The sequence below is a fragment of the Homo sapiens genome, chromosome 20, assembly GCF_000001405.40.
Source record: "Homo sapiens chromosome 20, GRCh38.p14 Primary Assembly".
In the NCBI taxonomy this organism is placed as follows: Eukaryota; Metazoa; Chordata; class Mammalia; order Primates; family Hominidae; genus Homo; species Homo sapiens.
The window spans coordinates 13,922,004-13,937,329 of record NC_000020.11 but is presented as its reverse complement, the minus strand read 5'-3'; the positions used below and the strand labels follow the sequence as shown (position 1 = coordinate 13,937,329).

At 39.7% G+C, this 15,326-nt stretch overlaps 1 protein-coding gene across 24 annotated transcripts in view; it reads left to right on the top strand.

The window, feature by feature from the left end:
- The window catches only part of SEL1L2 (SEL1L2 adaptor subunit of SYVN1 ubiquitin ligase), a 146,087-nt gene that overhangs the window by 58,004 nt on the left and 72,757 nt on the right, over positions 1-15,326 (top strand). For 22 of the 24 annotated variants that reach the window (NR_073207.2, NR_073206.2, XR_937162.2 and 19 more), the window contains exon 3: positions 5,559-5,727. Coding sequence is in view for 14 of the 24 variants with exons in the window: in NM_001271539.2 (NP_001258468.1) it covers positions 5,559-5,727 (169 nt within the window). In the remaining 10 variants the exon portion in view is untranslated. Of the gene's footprint in view, positions 1-5,558; positions 5,728-9,107; positions 9,257-15,326 lie in introns of those variants that run through there. The other 2 variants (XM_047440520.1, XM_011529378.3) reach the window with 2 other exon arrangements.

The following is a 15,326-nucleotide window of genomic DNA, read 5'->3' as shown; positions in this document are numbered from 1 at the left end:
ATCTGATATAAACACTTGGGCGGGTTGGAGATTCTCCGAGGACCCCTTTTTCACCTGCCTAGGCATTTGGCTGTCTTATTACTGCTAACCAAGAAGAAAAGAAACTACAAGTTCAGAGGGAGGGCCATCACCGTGGGTCACAGTGATACTGAGGAGTCTTGGGGAAAAAGATCCTTAGTTTGGCCTTGAAGCAGGAGTAACATTGGAGATAACAGGAAAGAAGAGACAATAAAAACTATTTAAGTAAAAACAAGGAAATAGGAAAGAATCTATTCTATCTGTGGAACAGGGAGTAGAAGAGTTTGGCTGTCACCAGCGTTTGTGTAGGTGTGGTAGTAGTAAGAAACAAGCTCACTGTGACATTTTTAGGTCAGACTGTGAGGAATCTTAGATTTTGTACAAAGTGGTTTGATTTTATCCTGCTCTTCCTGAGAACTGAAGGTTTGAGTTGGGCAATAATATGTTCAAAGGGATGCTTGAGAAAAACTTATCCAGTGTGAATCTGTAACCACCCAATGGGTTCATCTTGTCTTCTGCCCTGATAGATGTATCAAGACAGGGGAATTGCAATAGAAAAAGGGCTTAATATACATAGAGCTAGCTAAACAGGAAACTGGAGTTTTATTATCACTCAAATCAACCTCCCTGAAAATTCCAAGGCTAGGGATTTTCAAGGATAGTTTGGTGCGCAGGAGGGTAGGGAATGGGTGCTGCTGATTGGTTGGGGATGTAATCATCTGGGTGTGGAAAACAGTCTTTATGCACTGAATCCAATTCTGGATGGGGACCACAGAGGAGTCACTGGTACAGGTGGGCCTCAAAAGACATCTCAAAAGGCCAATCTTATGTTCTAAAATAGTGACGTTATTTACAGGAGTCATTGGGGAAGTTGTAAATCTTGTGACCTCTAGAATTGTGGCTGGTTATCATTGAACTATGCCTACATCTTAGCAGAATTTGGGCCCCTGTCATCCTCCTAACCTGGTGGGCTTTCATTAGTTTTACAAAGGTGGTTTAGTTTTTGGGAAGGGCTATTATCATTTCTCCCAAAGTTAGCTTAGCTCACACCCAGGAATGACCAAAGGCAGTTTGGAGGTTAAAAGTAAGATGGAGCTGGTTAGGTCAGATCTCTTTCAATGTCATAATTTTCTCGCTGTCATAATTTTGGCAAAGGCTATTTCAGAGCTTCAAGATACAGGGAAGTGAAGAGGCAGAGGGCAAGTGAAGATGTCAGAGACTATCAAAACACAGCTTCTTTCTCCGATGAAGAGCTATAGCTAGTCTATAGATGGGCCCAGGAGAGTTTTACAAACATGCTTTTATTGCATTTGCTGTTTAAAAACTAAAATTCACATGATAAGCCCTTCAACAGAAAATCTTGTCAGCAATGTTTCCGGAATATCTCCAGAAACAAACCACAACCACTATCACCATTTCCCCCTCTACCATCTTCTTTCTTCACTGTCACCATCAATTCTCAAGTGGCCTATTTCAGTTGGCCTCTTTTCCCCACTCCATCTCTACGATATCATATTCTCCACACATGAGCCAGAATGATACTTCTGAAATTTAATTCAGTTAATATCACTCCTCTGCTCAGAACCCTCCATAGGGCTCCCATTCACACAGAACACAACTCCCAATCCTGAACCTGGCCCCAGCGCTGCCTCTCTGCCTCATTATTTCCCCCTCTCCCCACCCCACTCACTCTGCTCCAGTTACCCTGTCTTCCTTGCACACCTGTGTGTTCCTGTTTCAGCGCCTTTGCGTTTGCCATTGCCTCTGTCAGAACTCCCTTCCTGAGGTTTATTTGCGTGGCTAACTCCCTCCATTCCCACAGGGGTCTACTCAAATGTAATCATAGAACTTCTCCACCCTGTATCAAATAACACTAACTTTTATCACTTCCCTCCCCTTACCCTTTTTAAAAACAACTCCTTTTATCAGTTGACTGTTATCTTCCCTGGCAGAAAATCAGCTGCAAGAGGGCAGAGACTTTGTTTGTTTGGTTGGTTGGTTTGGCTGTATCCCTGGCTCTGAGAGCAGGGACTGAGAGCAATGCTCCAAAAATGCTTGTTATTAAATTATTTAATCTCTGGATGCCTTGGAGAGTCAGAGAAAGCCTCTCTGTCTTCCAAGGCTCCCTAATACTTGGTCTCGCTGACTGTGTTCTGCTGTTGTTCAGGATGAGAGAGAAACCCAAAGTCAAGAAACACTGACCTCTGTAAAGAAGCCAGTAGAAACATCAGACAGTCACAGGCATTTGCCAAACTTGTACTGCCTCCTCAACTTAGATGCTAGTTATTGTTGAACTGAAAAGTTAAAGTTAAATGGCAATAACATATGATAATTCCACTATACTAGAGAGTGCAGGATGCTTATCAAAATCCATGTTCTCTTCTTCCAGATACCTAAATAGATTATGTTTCTCGGCCACCTTGCAATTAGGTGGGGCTAATAGAAGGTGGCTGAAAGCAGGAAATGCAAACCAAAACCACAATGTGATACCAGCTTACTCCTACAAGAATGGCCATAATCAAAAAATAAAAAAAAACAGATGTTGGCATGGATGTGGTGAAAAGGGAACACTTCTACACTGCTATGTGAATGTAAACTAAAACAACCAGTGTGGAAAACAGTGTGAAGATTCCTTAAACAACTAAAAGTAGAACTACCATTTGATTCAGCAACCCCACTACTGGGTATCTACTCAGAGGAAAAGAAGTCATTATACAAAAAAGATACTTGCACACAGGCTTATAGCAGCAGAATTCACAATTGCAAAAATACAGAACCAGCCCAAATGCCCATCAATCTACGAGCAGATAAAGAAACTGTGACATATATATATATGGAATATATATATATGGAATATATATATATGGAATATATATATGGAATATATATATATGGAATATATATATATGGAATATATATATATGGAATATATATATATGGAATATATATATATGGAATATATATATATGGAATATATATATATGGAATACTACTCAGTCATAAAAAGGAATGAGTTAATGGCATTCAAAGCAACTTGGATGGGACTGGATAATATTATTTTAAGTGAAGTAATTCAGAAATTGAAAAGCAAACATTGGATGTTCTCACTTATAAGTGGGAGCTAAGCTATGAGGATGCAAAGCCATAAGAATGATACAATGGACTTTGGGGAATTGGGGGGAAAGGGTAGGAAGAGGATGAGGAATAAAAGGCTACAAATTGGGTTCCGTGTATACTGCTCGGGTGATGGGTGCACCAAAATCTCACAAATCACCATGAAAGAACTTACTCATGTAACAAAATCCTACCTGTTCTCCCAAAACCTGTGGAAATTAAAAAAAAAAAAAACCTTAGGTTTACTGAGCTATTATGTACTTACTAAACATCTAATAAATTTCAGTTAAAATTTAAAATTTAAAAAAAGAAAGTAGCTGAAAGCACTATGTGCCCCTTCCAGGTCTGGCCTATTAAAGAAAGCAAAGCAAACCAAGAAAGCAAAGCAAACCAAATGACACAAAGCAAAACAAAACAGAAACCTTTTCTCCACATAGTCTTCCAGGCTCTTTCTCTTTCTGTCTGCTAGATACTGATGCTCCAGGAGACCTTGGAATCCGCATGTTGAAGCTGGCACAGTATCTATTTAATATCTGCTTGGGTCCCTGAATGACAGCCATGGAGCATATTATTTTATTTGGCCATAGAAAGAATTGAAGTGCTGATATATGCTACAACATGGATTAACCCTGAAAACAAATCTAAGTGAAAGAAGCCAGTCACACACAAAAATCACATACTATATGATTCTATTCATATGAATGTCCGCAATAGAGAAATCTGTAGAGGTAAAACATAGATTAGTGGTTGCTTAGGGCTGGGGTAGGGAGGATGGGAGTACAGGGAAGGTGATAGCTAAAGGATTTGTGGTTTTTTCTTAAGGTGATAAAAATGTTCTAAAATTGACTGTGGTAATGGTTGCACATGTCTGTGAATATTCTAAAAAACCATTGAATTGTACACTTTAAATGGGTTAATATATAATTTATAATATGTGAATTATATCTCATTAAAGCTGTTTTTATTTTTATTTTTTATTTTATTTTATTTTTTGAGAGTCACTCTGGAGTACGCTGGCTGGAGTACAGTGGCGCAATCTCAGCTCCCTGTAACCTCCGCCTCGCAGGTTCAAGCAATTCTTCTGCCTCACCTCCCAAGTAGCGGGGATTACAGGCACACACCACCAGGCCTGGCGAATTTTTTTGTATTTTTAGTAGAGACGGGGTTTCACCATGTTGGCCAGGCTGGTCTCAAACTCCTGACCTCAGGCAATCCGGACGCCTCCACCTCATAAAATGCTGGCAGATGTAAGCCACCCCGCCTAGCCTAAAGCTGTTTTTAAAAAGTCCTTTACATGGCTTCATGTTTCTGCTTGCTCTGGCCCCTGGGTCATTGCTCTGATGTCTTTGCTACCACCTCAAAGGATTTAAGCATGCCAGAAAAGAAAGTTTAAACTATACTGAAGAAAAGGAAAAAAAAGCAAACAAAAAGTCTTGACTCTTCTTAGAAGTAGTAATTCACAAAAAGGGCCGGGTGTGGTGGCTCATGCCTGTAATCCCGGCACTTTGGGAGGCCGAGGCGGGCAGATCACCTGAGGTCAGAAGTTCGAGAACAGCCTGGTCAACATGGTGAAACCTGTCTTTATTAAAAATACAAAAATTAGCTAGGCACGGTGGCATGCACCTGTAGTCCCAGTTACTCGGGAGGCTGAGGCAGGACAATCACTTGATCCCGGGAGGCGAAGGTTGCAGTGAGCCAAGATCGTGTCACTGCACTCCAGCCTGGGTGACAGAGTGAAACTCGTCTCAAAAAATAATAATAATAATAATAATAATAATAATAATAATAATTGACAAAGGAAAAATTTTAATGTTTCAGTATAATTTACCCAGAAAATTATGTAGGTAAATCATGAATATTTACTTCCATAAAGCTTTTTCTACCTTAATTCCTGCATTATTTTCTACTACTCAGAAATAACCTGCTAAAACTATTACCCTACTTAAAAAAGATTAATTGTAATTATATAACTTCTGAAAAGGACTTTTGGGAAATATTGTTTTTTTAAAGCCAGTCAGAAGATTTTCTGTACTTTCCACCCATTATAAATTTGTTGTAATGTGTAAGGCAATATCAACGCCTTCATTTTTTTAGCTAACACGATTGACATTACCATGACAACTTACCAGTGGAAGGTAAATTGGTTAAATTCTCCTACTATTTTATTTATAACATTTAGCTTTTAATGCTTGGCTCTGTAGTTCAGATGACAATATAATAGATTTAAAAGGTTTTTATTCATAAAACATATGGATTTCTAAAGTGAAGTAAGCCATCTGTCATTTTGATTTGAAAAAAGCAAGAATTAGAGTAATTGCATTAAGCTTGTATTTTTGCCATGAATATATGAATTTTCACTTTCCTGTTGTTTCATTTGAAAAAAACTCACACATGAACAAAATGAGCAACAGTCTTTTTCTTTGTAGGTATCAGTGAACGAAATCAAACAATATTTATCACACATATTGGAACAAAGAACATCTAGTAATGTAATCAATAAAAGAGAAAATCTCCTGGAGAAAAAGAAGAATCAACGTAAAATAAGAATAAAAGGAATTCAAAATAAAGATATCTTGAAGAGAAATAAGAATCATTGTAAGTAGAATATCTTTTCACATGTAAATTTAAAATGACTACATGCAATATAAAATCAAATTTTAGAGCTACTTTCTGAGAAGTCTTAGGATATAGTCATAAATATTTATACACACAAAAGCATTAAATTCTGCAGTCTTCTACCTTTGTTTTATTTTAATTTATTTTATTTTTTTGAGACAGGGTCTCACTCTGTTATCCAGGCTGGAGTGCAGCTGCATGATCTTGGCTTGCTGCAACCTCCACACCCTGGGCTCAAAGATACTCCTGTCAGGCCAGGCGCGGTGGCTCACGCCTGTAATCCCAGCACTTTGGGAGGCTGGGGAGGGCAGATCACGAGGTCAGGAGATCGAGACCACAGTGAAACCCCGTCTCTACTAAAAATACAAAAATTAGCCAGGCACGGTGGCGGGCACCTGTAGTCCCAGCTACTCGGGAGGCTGAGGCAGGAGGATGGCATGAACCTGGGAGGCAGAGCTTGCAGTGAGCCAAGATCGCGCCACTGTACTCCAGCCTGGGTGACACAGCGAGACTCCGTCAAAAAAAAAAAAAAATAGATACTCCTGTCTCAGCCTTCTGAGTAGCTGGGACTACAGGTGTGTGCCACCAGGCCCAACTAATGTTTTTAATTTTTAGTAGAGACGAGGGCTTGCTATGTTGCCCGGGCTGTTACCCACTATTTTAGATTCAGAATTTGTGCTGATGATAATAAGGAAGGTTGATAATCACAAAATGTGTTCTTCTGACACAAGTAAATACAGAAAAGTGATCACTGCTAATAAGAGCAATAGATAGAAATTGAGAACCATGGGTTATGAACCATGGGTTATGGAGAAGAAAGAGAATAGTTTTGGGGCTGGATGAACTCATTGATGTTAGTCTCTGTTTTTTTCTGAGAGTCCAGCTTTGACAAGGATTTTCAAGTTTTTAAATCTTAATATTTTAAGCGTATTTTTTTCCTCACATTTAGCTCCAAAAGACTGGTTCACTGCCCATTTGAAGAATTGGCTCTAGATATGACATCGAAATGTTGACATGCTTAGCTAACTGAAGTTAGGGATTTGGCAGGAAACAAATAGCACATTTAAATTGAGTCATCTGAGAAGAGTTTAATAAAGAGACTATTTATTTCTAAAGGCGTAGACAGGATATAGGGAAACCACAAAGTTCCCCCTGGGGCCAGTAGCAGGACTGGCATTACCACCCCATGGCCCTGAAGTGCCACAGGGCAGTAGTGGCTACCAGAGGTATGTGGAGAAGGCTCTGTGACAGAACTATGGTCTCAAGTCAAGGACAAAGCCAGCCTGCAGAGACCCGGATTGAGGAGGCAGGGAAGAAACAGCCCCACCTCACTTCCTGCTTACCCTTCATACCTCCTGCTAGTGATGCTCTTCAAGCAAATCTCTTCAGAAGCAGGAAGGAAAGGGAGTCCATTGATGTGGTGTGGTCCTTAGGAGTTAGAGTCCCAAGGCACAGAGCAGGATGGAGTGGGATCTAGAATGGCAATCAGAAGGCCGGTGGCCATTGCCTATGCCTGTCATCCAAGCGCTTCAGGAAGCTGAGGTGGGCGGATTGCCTAAGCTCAGGAGTTTGAGACCAGCCTGGCCAACATGGTGAAACCTTGTCTCTACCAAAATTACAAAAAATAACCGGGTGTGGTGGCATGTGCCTGTAATCCAAGCTACTTGGGAGGTTGAGGCAGGAAGTTCACTTAAGGCCAGGAGGCGGAGGCTGCAGTGAGCTGAGATTGCGCCACTGCACTCCAGCCTGGGCGACAGAGGGAGACCCCGTCTCAAAAAAAAAAGGCCGGGCACGTGGCTCACTCCTATAATCCCAGCACTTTGGGAGGCCAAGGCGGGAGGATCACGAGGTCAGGAGATCGAGACCATCCTGGCTACCACGGTGAAACCCCGTCTCTGCTAAAAATACAAAAAATTAGCAGGGTGTGGTTGCAGGCGCCTGTAGTCCAAGCTACTCGGGAGGCTGAGACAGGAGAATGACGTGAACCCGGGAGGCGGAGCTTGCAGTGAGCTGAGCTGAGATCGGGCCACTGCACTCCAGCCTGGGCGACAGAGCGAGACTCCGTCTCAAAAAAAAAAAAAAAAAAAAAAAAAAGGCAAAGGCAATTAGAGGATATCCAACACACCTGGCTTTCCAGACAGGGGAGATTAGATGGCATGAACTAAAAGGATAAAGACCTTTTAGGGGCACACAGTAGAAGCATAGTTAGTAAAAGTGAAGTTTCAGAATCTTAAGAGTAAAAAGGAACGTTAGAGGTCCTCATCTAAAAGTACTAAGTCAGTGTAGTGGTCAGGGTTCAACCAGAAAAAGATTAAAAAAAAAAATAGTAGGAGATGTCTATACTTAGGAATTTATTGCAAGTGAGTGGCTTATGCGATTGTGGGGCTGGCGGGGCAAGTCCCATATCTAAAGAGCAGGCTCTCAGGGAGAACAGGCTGGAGCTCTTGGGCATGAGCTGAAGCTGCTATCCACAGGCGGAATTTTTTTCTTCCTCAGAGAAGCCTCAGTTCCATTCTTAAGGCTTTGCAACTGATGGAATCGGGCCAACCCAGATTATCTAGAATAATCTCCTTTTGATGGGTTTTAATCATTGCTACAAAACAGCATCACGGCAACAACTAGATTCCTGTTTGGATAACTGAGGATGATAGCCAAGCCAAACTGACACATGAAATTGACCAACACAGCCAGGTGTCTCCTAATCCTTATGTGTTTGTCTACATTTTTTAATTTAAGTGTAACATTTTACATTTATGTGTATTAAACTTCACTGTGCGCATTTTACATTAACAGGCAGTTTACATTTATATGGATTAAACTTCATTTTGGACCATTATTCCAACCTATTGATTGCATTAACGAATTCATTAGCTATTCTCTCCTAGCTTTCTGTCATTTGAAATTTTGACAAGCATATCACTTCCGATCTTTTACCCATGTTCTTGTTAGAGAAGTTAGCAAGATGGGCCAAATTTAGCACCTAGGGCCCGCAGTAATACACCAGAAATCTTTAGAATTTTGTTGTTGATTGGGTATCTTATTGGTGGGTGGGTAATTGTAATTATTTGGTCAGGAATATCTGACCAAATATAGATAAGATAAAAATCTGCATGTGATGTGGGTGAAAAATTCTATTTACTAGAATGTCTTATACAGTGTGCACTGCCTTTATACGGCAGTGTGCCGAGGGCCTGGGGTCATGTCTTAACAAGCATTCGTGGCTGGTAAACACCCCCTCCTGCTCTCCCACCTCCCTGCAACACAGAAGCCTGGTGTCAGCTGATGCCAAGTCTTCAAGGATGGAAAGACATTGCCCTACAGAACTAGGGAGAGGAACGTTGACATTTTGTTTTTGAAAGGGTGAGAAGAAAAGAACAGGAGAAGAACTATGAAAACAGCAGATGTGAGGAGCAAGAAAGATGGTGATTGGCTGCGCTAAACTGAAAAGTTAGTGAAACTTCAAAGTTGGGGGATTCCAACTGATATTTTTAAATCAGCAATGTCTAAGGTGACCATTAAAAATTGTTTTTGTTCCTAGGATAACTCATCTTCTCTTCTGCTCTATGAAATCTTAGATAAAATGTGTATTCCTCATAAACGTTTTGTAAGAGTAAATATCCTTTTGGGACAACTCAAAGAGATATTAAGTCTCACTGTGGGTCCATGCGACACAGCTTGGGAACAGTACCTATTTAGTTAGGAGTTAAGAAAGTAGAGGAAGCCACGGAGAAGCTACCTTCCCTAGAGGAGAGTTTGAACTTCATAAATGTGGAATGAAACAAGAATATGAGTCACACATGATTATCAGACTGGCTCAGAACCTTATTGAACTCTATTCTCATTTAGTTCCCATTTCAACATTTTGTGCACAGGATATGCTTGAGATATAGGTGTTCTATAAATGCTATTCCACAGACCTACCGGTCCTTCACAAAAGAGAAATAGGATTTAACTTACTCTGAAAAATTATTTCTAATTCTTAGTGATTAAATATTCTTAATGGAATGCTCACAAAACACATATAATAATCTGTTCTAAAAATTAAAGAGATTAACATCAAGTTATAGTTCCAGAATATAAATAAATTTCTCTACATTTTAAAAACAGAGAAAACTATTTAGCCATTTTTGGAATTTTGCCACTTGTCTCTTTACCCAGAATTTCTCACATATAACAAGTAGCATTTATACCCCCATAGCTTAAAGGCAAGATCTGTGCCTGGCACTGTATCTGTCGCATAGTTGGAATGAAGAAATATTTGCTGAATTACATTGAGTTGAATTCTTTTTGTAGAGAGCTAGGATGTAAACTAGATCTAACTCCAAATTTAGCATTCTCTGTATGCTGTGTTACAATATAGTGCTACATAAAAATAATAAGGCTTAACGTTTTTAGAGTACATTTGGATAGTATTTTATAGTTGAACATGATGCTTTCCCATCCATTACCTTTTCTGAAATGGCATGTTCACTTTTCCTCAGGGTATTTTAACACCATAACTTCAACAACTAATTCTTCCATATGAGTCAGAATGAAGTCTAAAAGAATAATTATTTGTATTAAATTGTTAGCAAGACAAATCAATAACCAATCATGCAGTAGGAACAGTGGAGCCTATTCCTGCAGGCCACTGGGACACTACAGGCCATGTCCTTCCTGGCACCCCTTAGAATTAATCATCATTAATTTTGATGATCATACCCAATCACCACTGTGCTCTTGGTTGAAGGGAGGTATCTTGGAACCTTGTCTTAAGTCAGTCTTGGCATTCCTTTTTGCTGCTTCTGGGGCCTGTGACCAGCTAGGCTAAATTTAACATTTGCATTCCATTTTATTGATTATTTTTCGGCATATTTGGAATGGACACTGTGAAGTGCTGTTCAGACCCCCTTCAACGAGGAACTATTTGCCCAATTGCTGGAGTACAGTCTCTAGACAGCCTTTGGCAGTCAGTCTCTGAAGGGACTGTTTTCAGCTACAGAGTGCTGCATAGCCAAGGTCATGCCTCCTTCCTGGGGCAGCTCACTTCCAATGGCCAGTTGATACAGCAGTATGAAGGCAGGATCATCTAACCCTAACCTGAGACAACTCTAACAGGCCATTTTAGCGCCACAGAGCTCCACCTGTGGGGTCAGCCAGGTGTTTCTCTTGCAGCCAAGTGAGCCCGCATCGCAGTTTCTCCCTCTGCCCAGTCCAACTTCTTCTTTAGATGTGGTTCTGAAGGTCACTTTTTTTGAATTTTTTATTTATTTAATTTTTTTTTGTTTGAAACGGAGTCTCGCTCTGTCGCCCAGGCTGGAGTGCAGTGGCGCCATCTCCGCTCACTACAAGCTCCGCCTCCAGGGTTCACGCCATTCTCCTGCCTCAGCCTCCTGAGTAGCTGGGACTACGGGCGCCTGCACCACGCCTGGCTAATTTTTTGTATTTTTAGGAGAGACGGTTTCACCGTACTAGCCAGGATGGTCTCAATCTCCTGACCTCGTGATTCGCCCGCCTTGTCCTCCCAAAGCGCTGGGATTACAGGCGTGAGCCACGGCTCCCGGCCCTGAAGGTCCCTTCTTAACAAAAACCCTGACTCCTAGGATCTGCTTATCAAGGAGCCCAACCTGCTCACCATTAATGCCTTTCCTAGTATTTACTACAAGTTTTTCTTTAAATCAGCTCACAGTTTTATGTAAGTTAACTGATTTTAAAAGGAAACTACTAAAGATCTCTCATTCTAGCAAAATGGTGGGTTAATCCAATAGGAAAATCCTCTTGCTACAAATACCTAAAAGTGTTGCCTAAAGTATGTCATAACTTTAAATGTTTTTAAAGGCAGAACTGGGCTCACAAGGAGCTGAAATCCTCAAATGTTAGAAATAATGAAAAGTAAGTATGTAGTCGATGTTTTGGCGAGTTGTAGTCAGAGCTGATAAAGGCTAAGCCTTGTATTTTAAGTCCCAGACCAGGGAAGGAAAAAAGACATTAGGACTTTTGAGAAGGGAATCGGAAAGAAGAGCTATGAATAAAGCTAGGAGTCTCATAGAGCTGTTCAGACAGCAAAAGAGAAGATTAGGGAAAACCAACCAACCAACCAATCACCACCCGCCATCGTAGGCAAATATCAAGGAAGCTTGTTCTCTACCGAAGCTCTCACAGGGAAAAACCTCTCCCTGGTAAAACCTTAACCACAGCCCTGACCCTCATACAGATTTGGATTTGAATTTATGCCACCTGATTTTTTGGGTGAAAACTTCTAAACCAATATAAAATTTTTCCTCAGTCAATAAAATAATGACTCTGGAAACCTGACAGAAGCAACAGAAACTCACTCTAGAGAAACAATCTCACAATTCCCACAAAGGAAGACTTACTGGACTCACAAGAAAATTTTAGAAAATACACAAGTGACTACACACACACAATAAAAGGCATAGCACCTCAAGTATTTTTTTTTGTGAGGTACAGAGTTTCACTCTGTTGCCCACGCTGGAGTGCAGTGGTGCAATCTCTGCTCACTGCATCCTCCTTCTCCCGGGTTTAAGCAATTGTCCTACCTCAGCCTCCCTAGTAGCTGGGATTACAGGTGCGCACCACTATGCCCGGCTAATTTTTATATTTTTAGTAGAGACAGGATCTCACCATGTTGGCCAGGCTGGTCTCGAACTCCTGATCTCAGGTGATCTGCCCGCCTCGGCCTCCCAAAATGCTGGGATTACAGGTGTGAGCCACCGTGCCTGGCCAGCACCTCAAGACTTGATAGAGTAGAACAACCTGCAAAAGTCTACAGAATAAATATATTTTAAAATGGTTAAGAAAGCATGAAAACAAGGCATCCTGACAAAGGAATAAGCAGCCATGTAAAAGAACCAACCAGAGTTAAGAAAAATGAAACGCCTGTAACCCTAGCAGTTTGGGAGGCCAAGGTGGGAGGATCACTTAAGTCCAAGGATTAGAGAACAACCTGGGCAATACAGTGAGAGTCTGTCTCTATGAAAAAAAAGAAATTAGCCAGGCATGGTGGCACATACCAGTAGTCCCAGCTACTTGGAAGGCTGAGGTGGGAGGATATCTTGAGCCCAGGAGTTTGAGATTACAGTGGGCTATGGTCACACCACTGCACTCTGCCCTAGGCAACAGAGTGAGACCCTGTCTCTTAAAAAAAAAAAGAAAAAGAAAAAGAAAATGTGTATTCATCCAAATTAAAAATCAAAGGATGGCTTAAGAAGATCAGACATAGTAGAAGAGAACATTAACAAATTACCGGAAAAATCAGAAGAAATTGTCCTGAATGCAGCCCAGAAAAAAAAAGAAAAACAAAAAAAAACCAAGTTGAAGAAGAGATACTCTTAGATTGAAAGAAAAATACCATACTTGACTATCTGCTGTTTGTAAGAAACATACTTAAAACATGATGCACAAAAACTGAGGTTAACTGAATAGAAATGATATCCCAGGCAACACTAATCAAAAGAAAGCTCATATTAACTTCAGACAAAATAGACTTCAAGGTAAAGTCAATAATAGGGAGAAAAGGAGAATCACCACATAATGTTCAAAGGAACAATCACAAGGAAGTTGTGATAATTCTAAGCATGTATCCATCAACATAATCTCAAAATATAAAAATGAAAAATTAACAGTCTTGCAATAGGAAATGAACAAATCCACAATTGTTGAAGATTTTTTAACATCTCTTAGAAACTGGTAGATTCAGCAAACAAAAAATTACTGAAAATCAAAAAGATTTGAATGTATAAAGCTCAATTTAATAATATATGGAATTTAATTCAATAATTAAAGAATATATAATATCTTTTTTTGTTTATTTGTTTTTGTTTTTATTGAGGAAGAGTCTTACTCTGTCGCCAAGGCTGGAGTGCAGTGGCACAATCTCGGCCCACTGCAAACTCCACCTGCCGGGTTCAAGCAATTCTTGTGCCTCAGCCTCCCGAATAGCTGGGACTACAGGCACGTGCCACTATGCTCAGCTAATTTTTGTATTATTAGTAGAAATGAGGTTTCACCATGTTGCCCAGGCTGGTTCAAGTGATTCACCCACCTGGGCCTCCCAAAGTGCTGGGATTACAGGTGTGAGCTACTGCACTCAGCCAAGAATATATAATCTTTTTAAGTAAAAAAATGGAAACTGTATAAAAATTGGCCACACACAAGGCCACAAAACAAGTTTCAACATAAACTGAGGAATCTATACGATTCTGCTGGGCTCCCTGATCCCAATGCAATAAAATTACAAGCCATAAGTAGACAATTTTTAAAAACCTTTTATGTCTGGAAAGTGTCATAAACACTTCTAAACGTTGTTTGAATAACTTAGAATGGAAATTTGAAAATATTTATAATTGATAATGAAAATGCTACATAAAAATTGTGGAATGCCACCAAAACAGTAATTAGAGAGAAATGTATTGTTTCAAATTCATATACTATGTTTGTGTCAAATTTAAGATGTCAAAAGTTATAAGATACACCATTGTTTTATGGCCACTAAGAAATAAAAGTGCTGTTGATTAAATATGATATCCTGGTGGTGGCCTGTAGCAACTGGCTAACAGACTCGGGATGTAACAGCCCAGCCCTGTTACCTGTGGGAAGGGAGTAACCCTCTAGTGCCATCCACCCTATAAAGCTCTAAACCTCTCCTGAAACCCTATACTTGCTTGGTTCCTTCCTATGCTCTGTGCTGCATTTCTCAGTCCTGGATATGTTTTACCACAAAATCTAAAATCTTAATACGTAAGTTTAAAAACAAATCAATCAATACTATCTAGAAAAATAAAAGGAAAAAGATAGCACATTCCAGTATTTTGAATCTCAAGTTATATTTACATCACAAACCACGTAAAGGATCATATAGAGCTAAAAAAAATTAACAAGTGAGCGAGGTGAATATCATAGTCTGACTAAAAATCAGGTGCTTTCATCATTAAAATGATACAAAGGGATAAAAATGGGAAATTATTTTCCTCTGCGGAAAATCTAGCCTACACAGACACTGCATCCTTTTTTTAAAATCTGATTTCAATTGTGCTTAATATAAACCAGCTTCAGCTTCAGATTTTGTGAATAATGCATCAGAAGAGTTCTTCACATTTGCCCTTATGTGTGTCAGGAAGATACAATCCTAGATGTGGAAGAAGAATAACGATCCATTACTAAAAATAACATTTCATCCAAGAAAGAATGACTCAGCAAAGAGTTTAGTCAAATAAAGATGCAATCGACTCAAATACGCTTGAATAAGAGCAAATATATTTACAATAATCAGGTTTACTCGCAATCTCCAGATCATTGTCAAACATAAATAACTCCAGTCATATTGTGAGAAATGGTAAAAAAAATTGCATTAAAAGTAGAAAGAAAATCTCTTTTCAGCAAGATTTGAAATAACAGGGATTGTGTTCTTATTTATTAATTATATAATAATGCATTATTGTATATTTGGTACAAGGACTTAATTCATTTTCAAAAACCTTTAATTTAGCAGAAAGAAATATGGTTCATGAAACAAGTGAAGAATCAAAAGCAATATCAATTATGTTGGAATAAGAGCTGAAACTTATAAAGCACTTAGA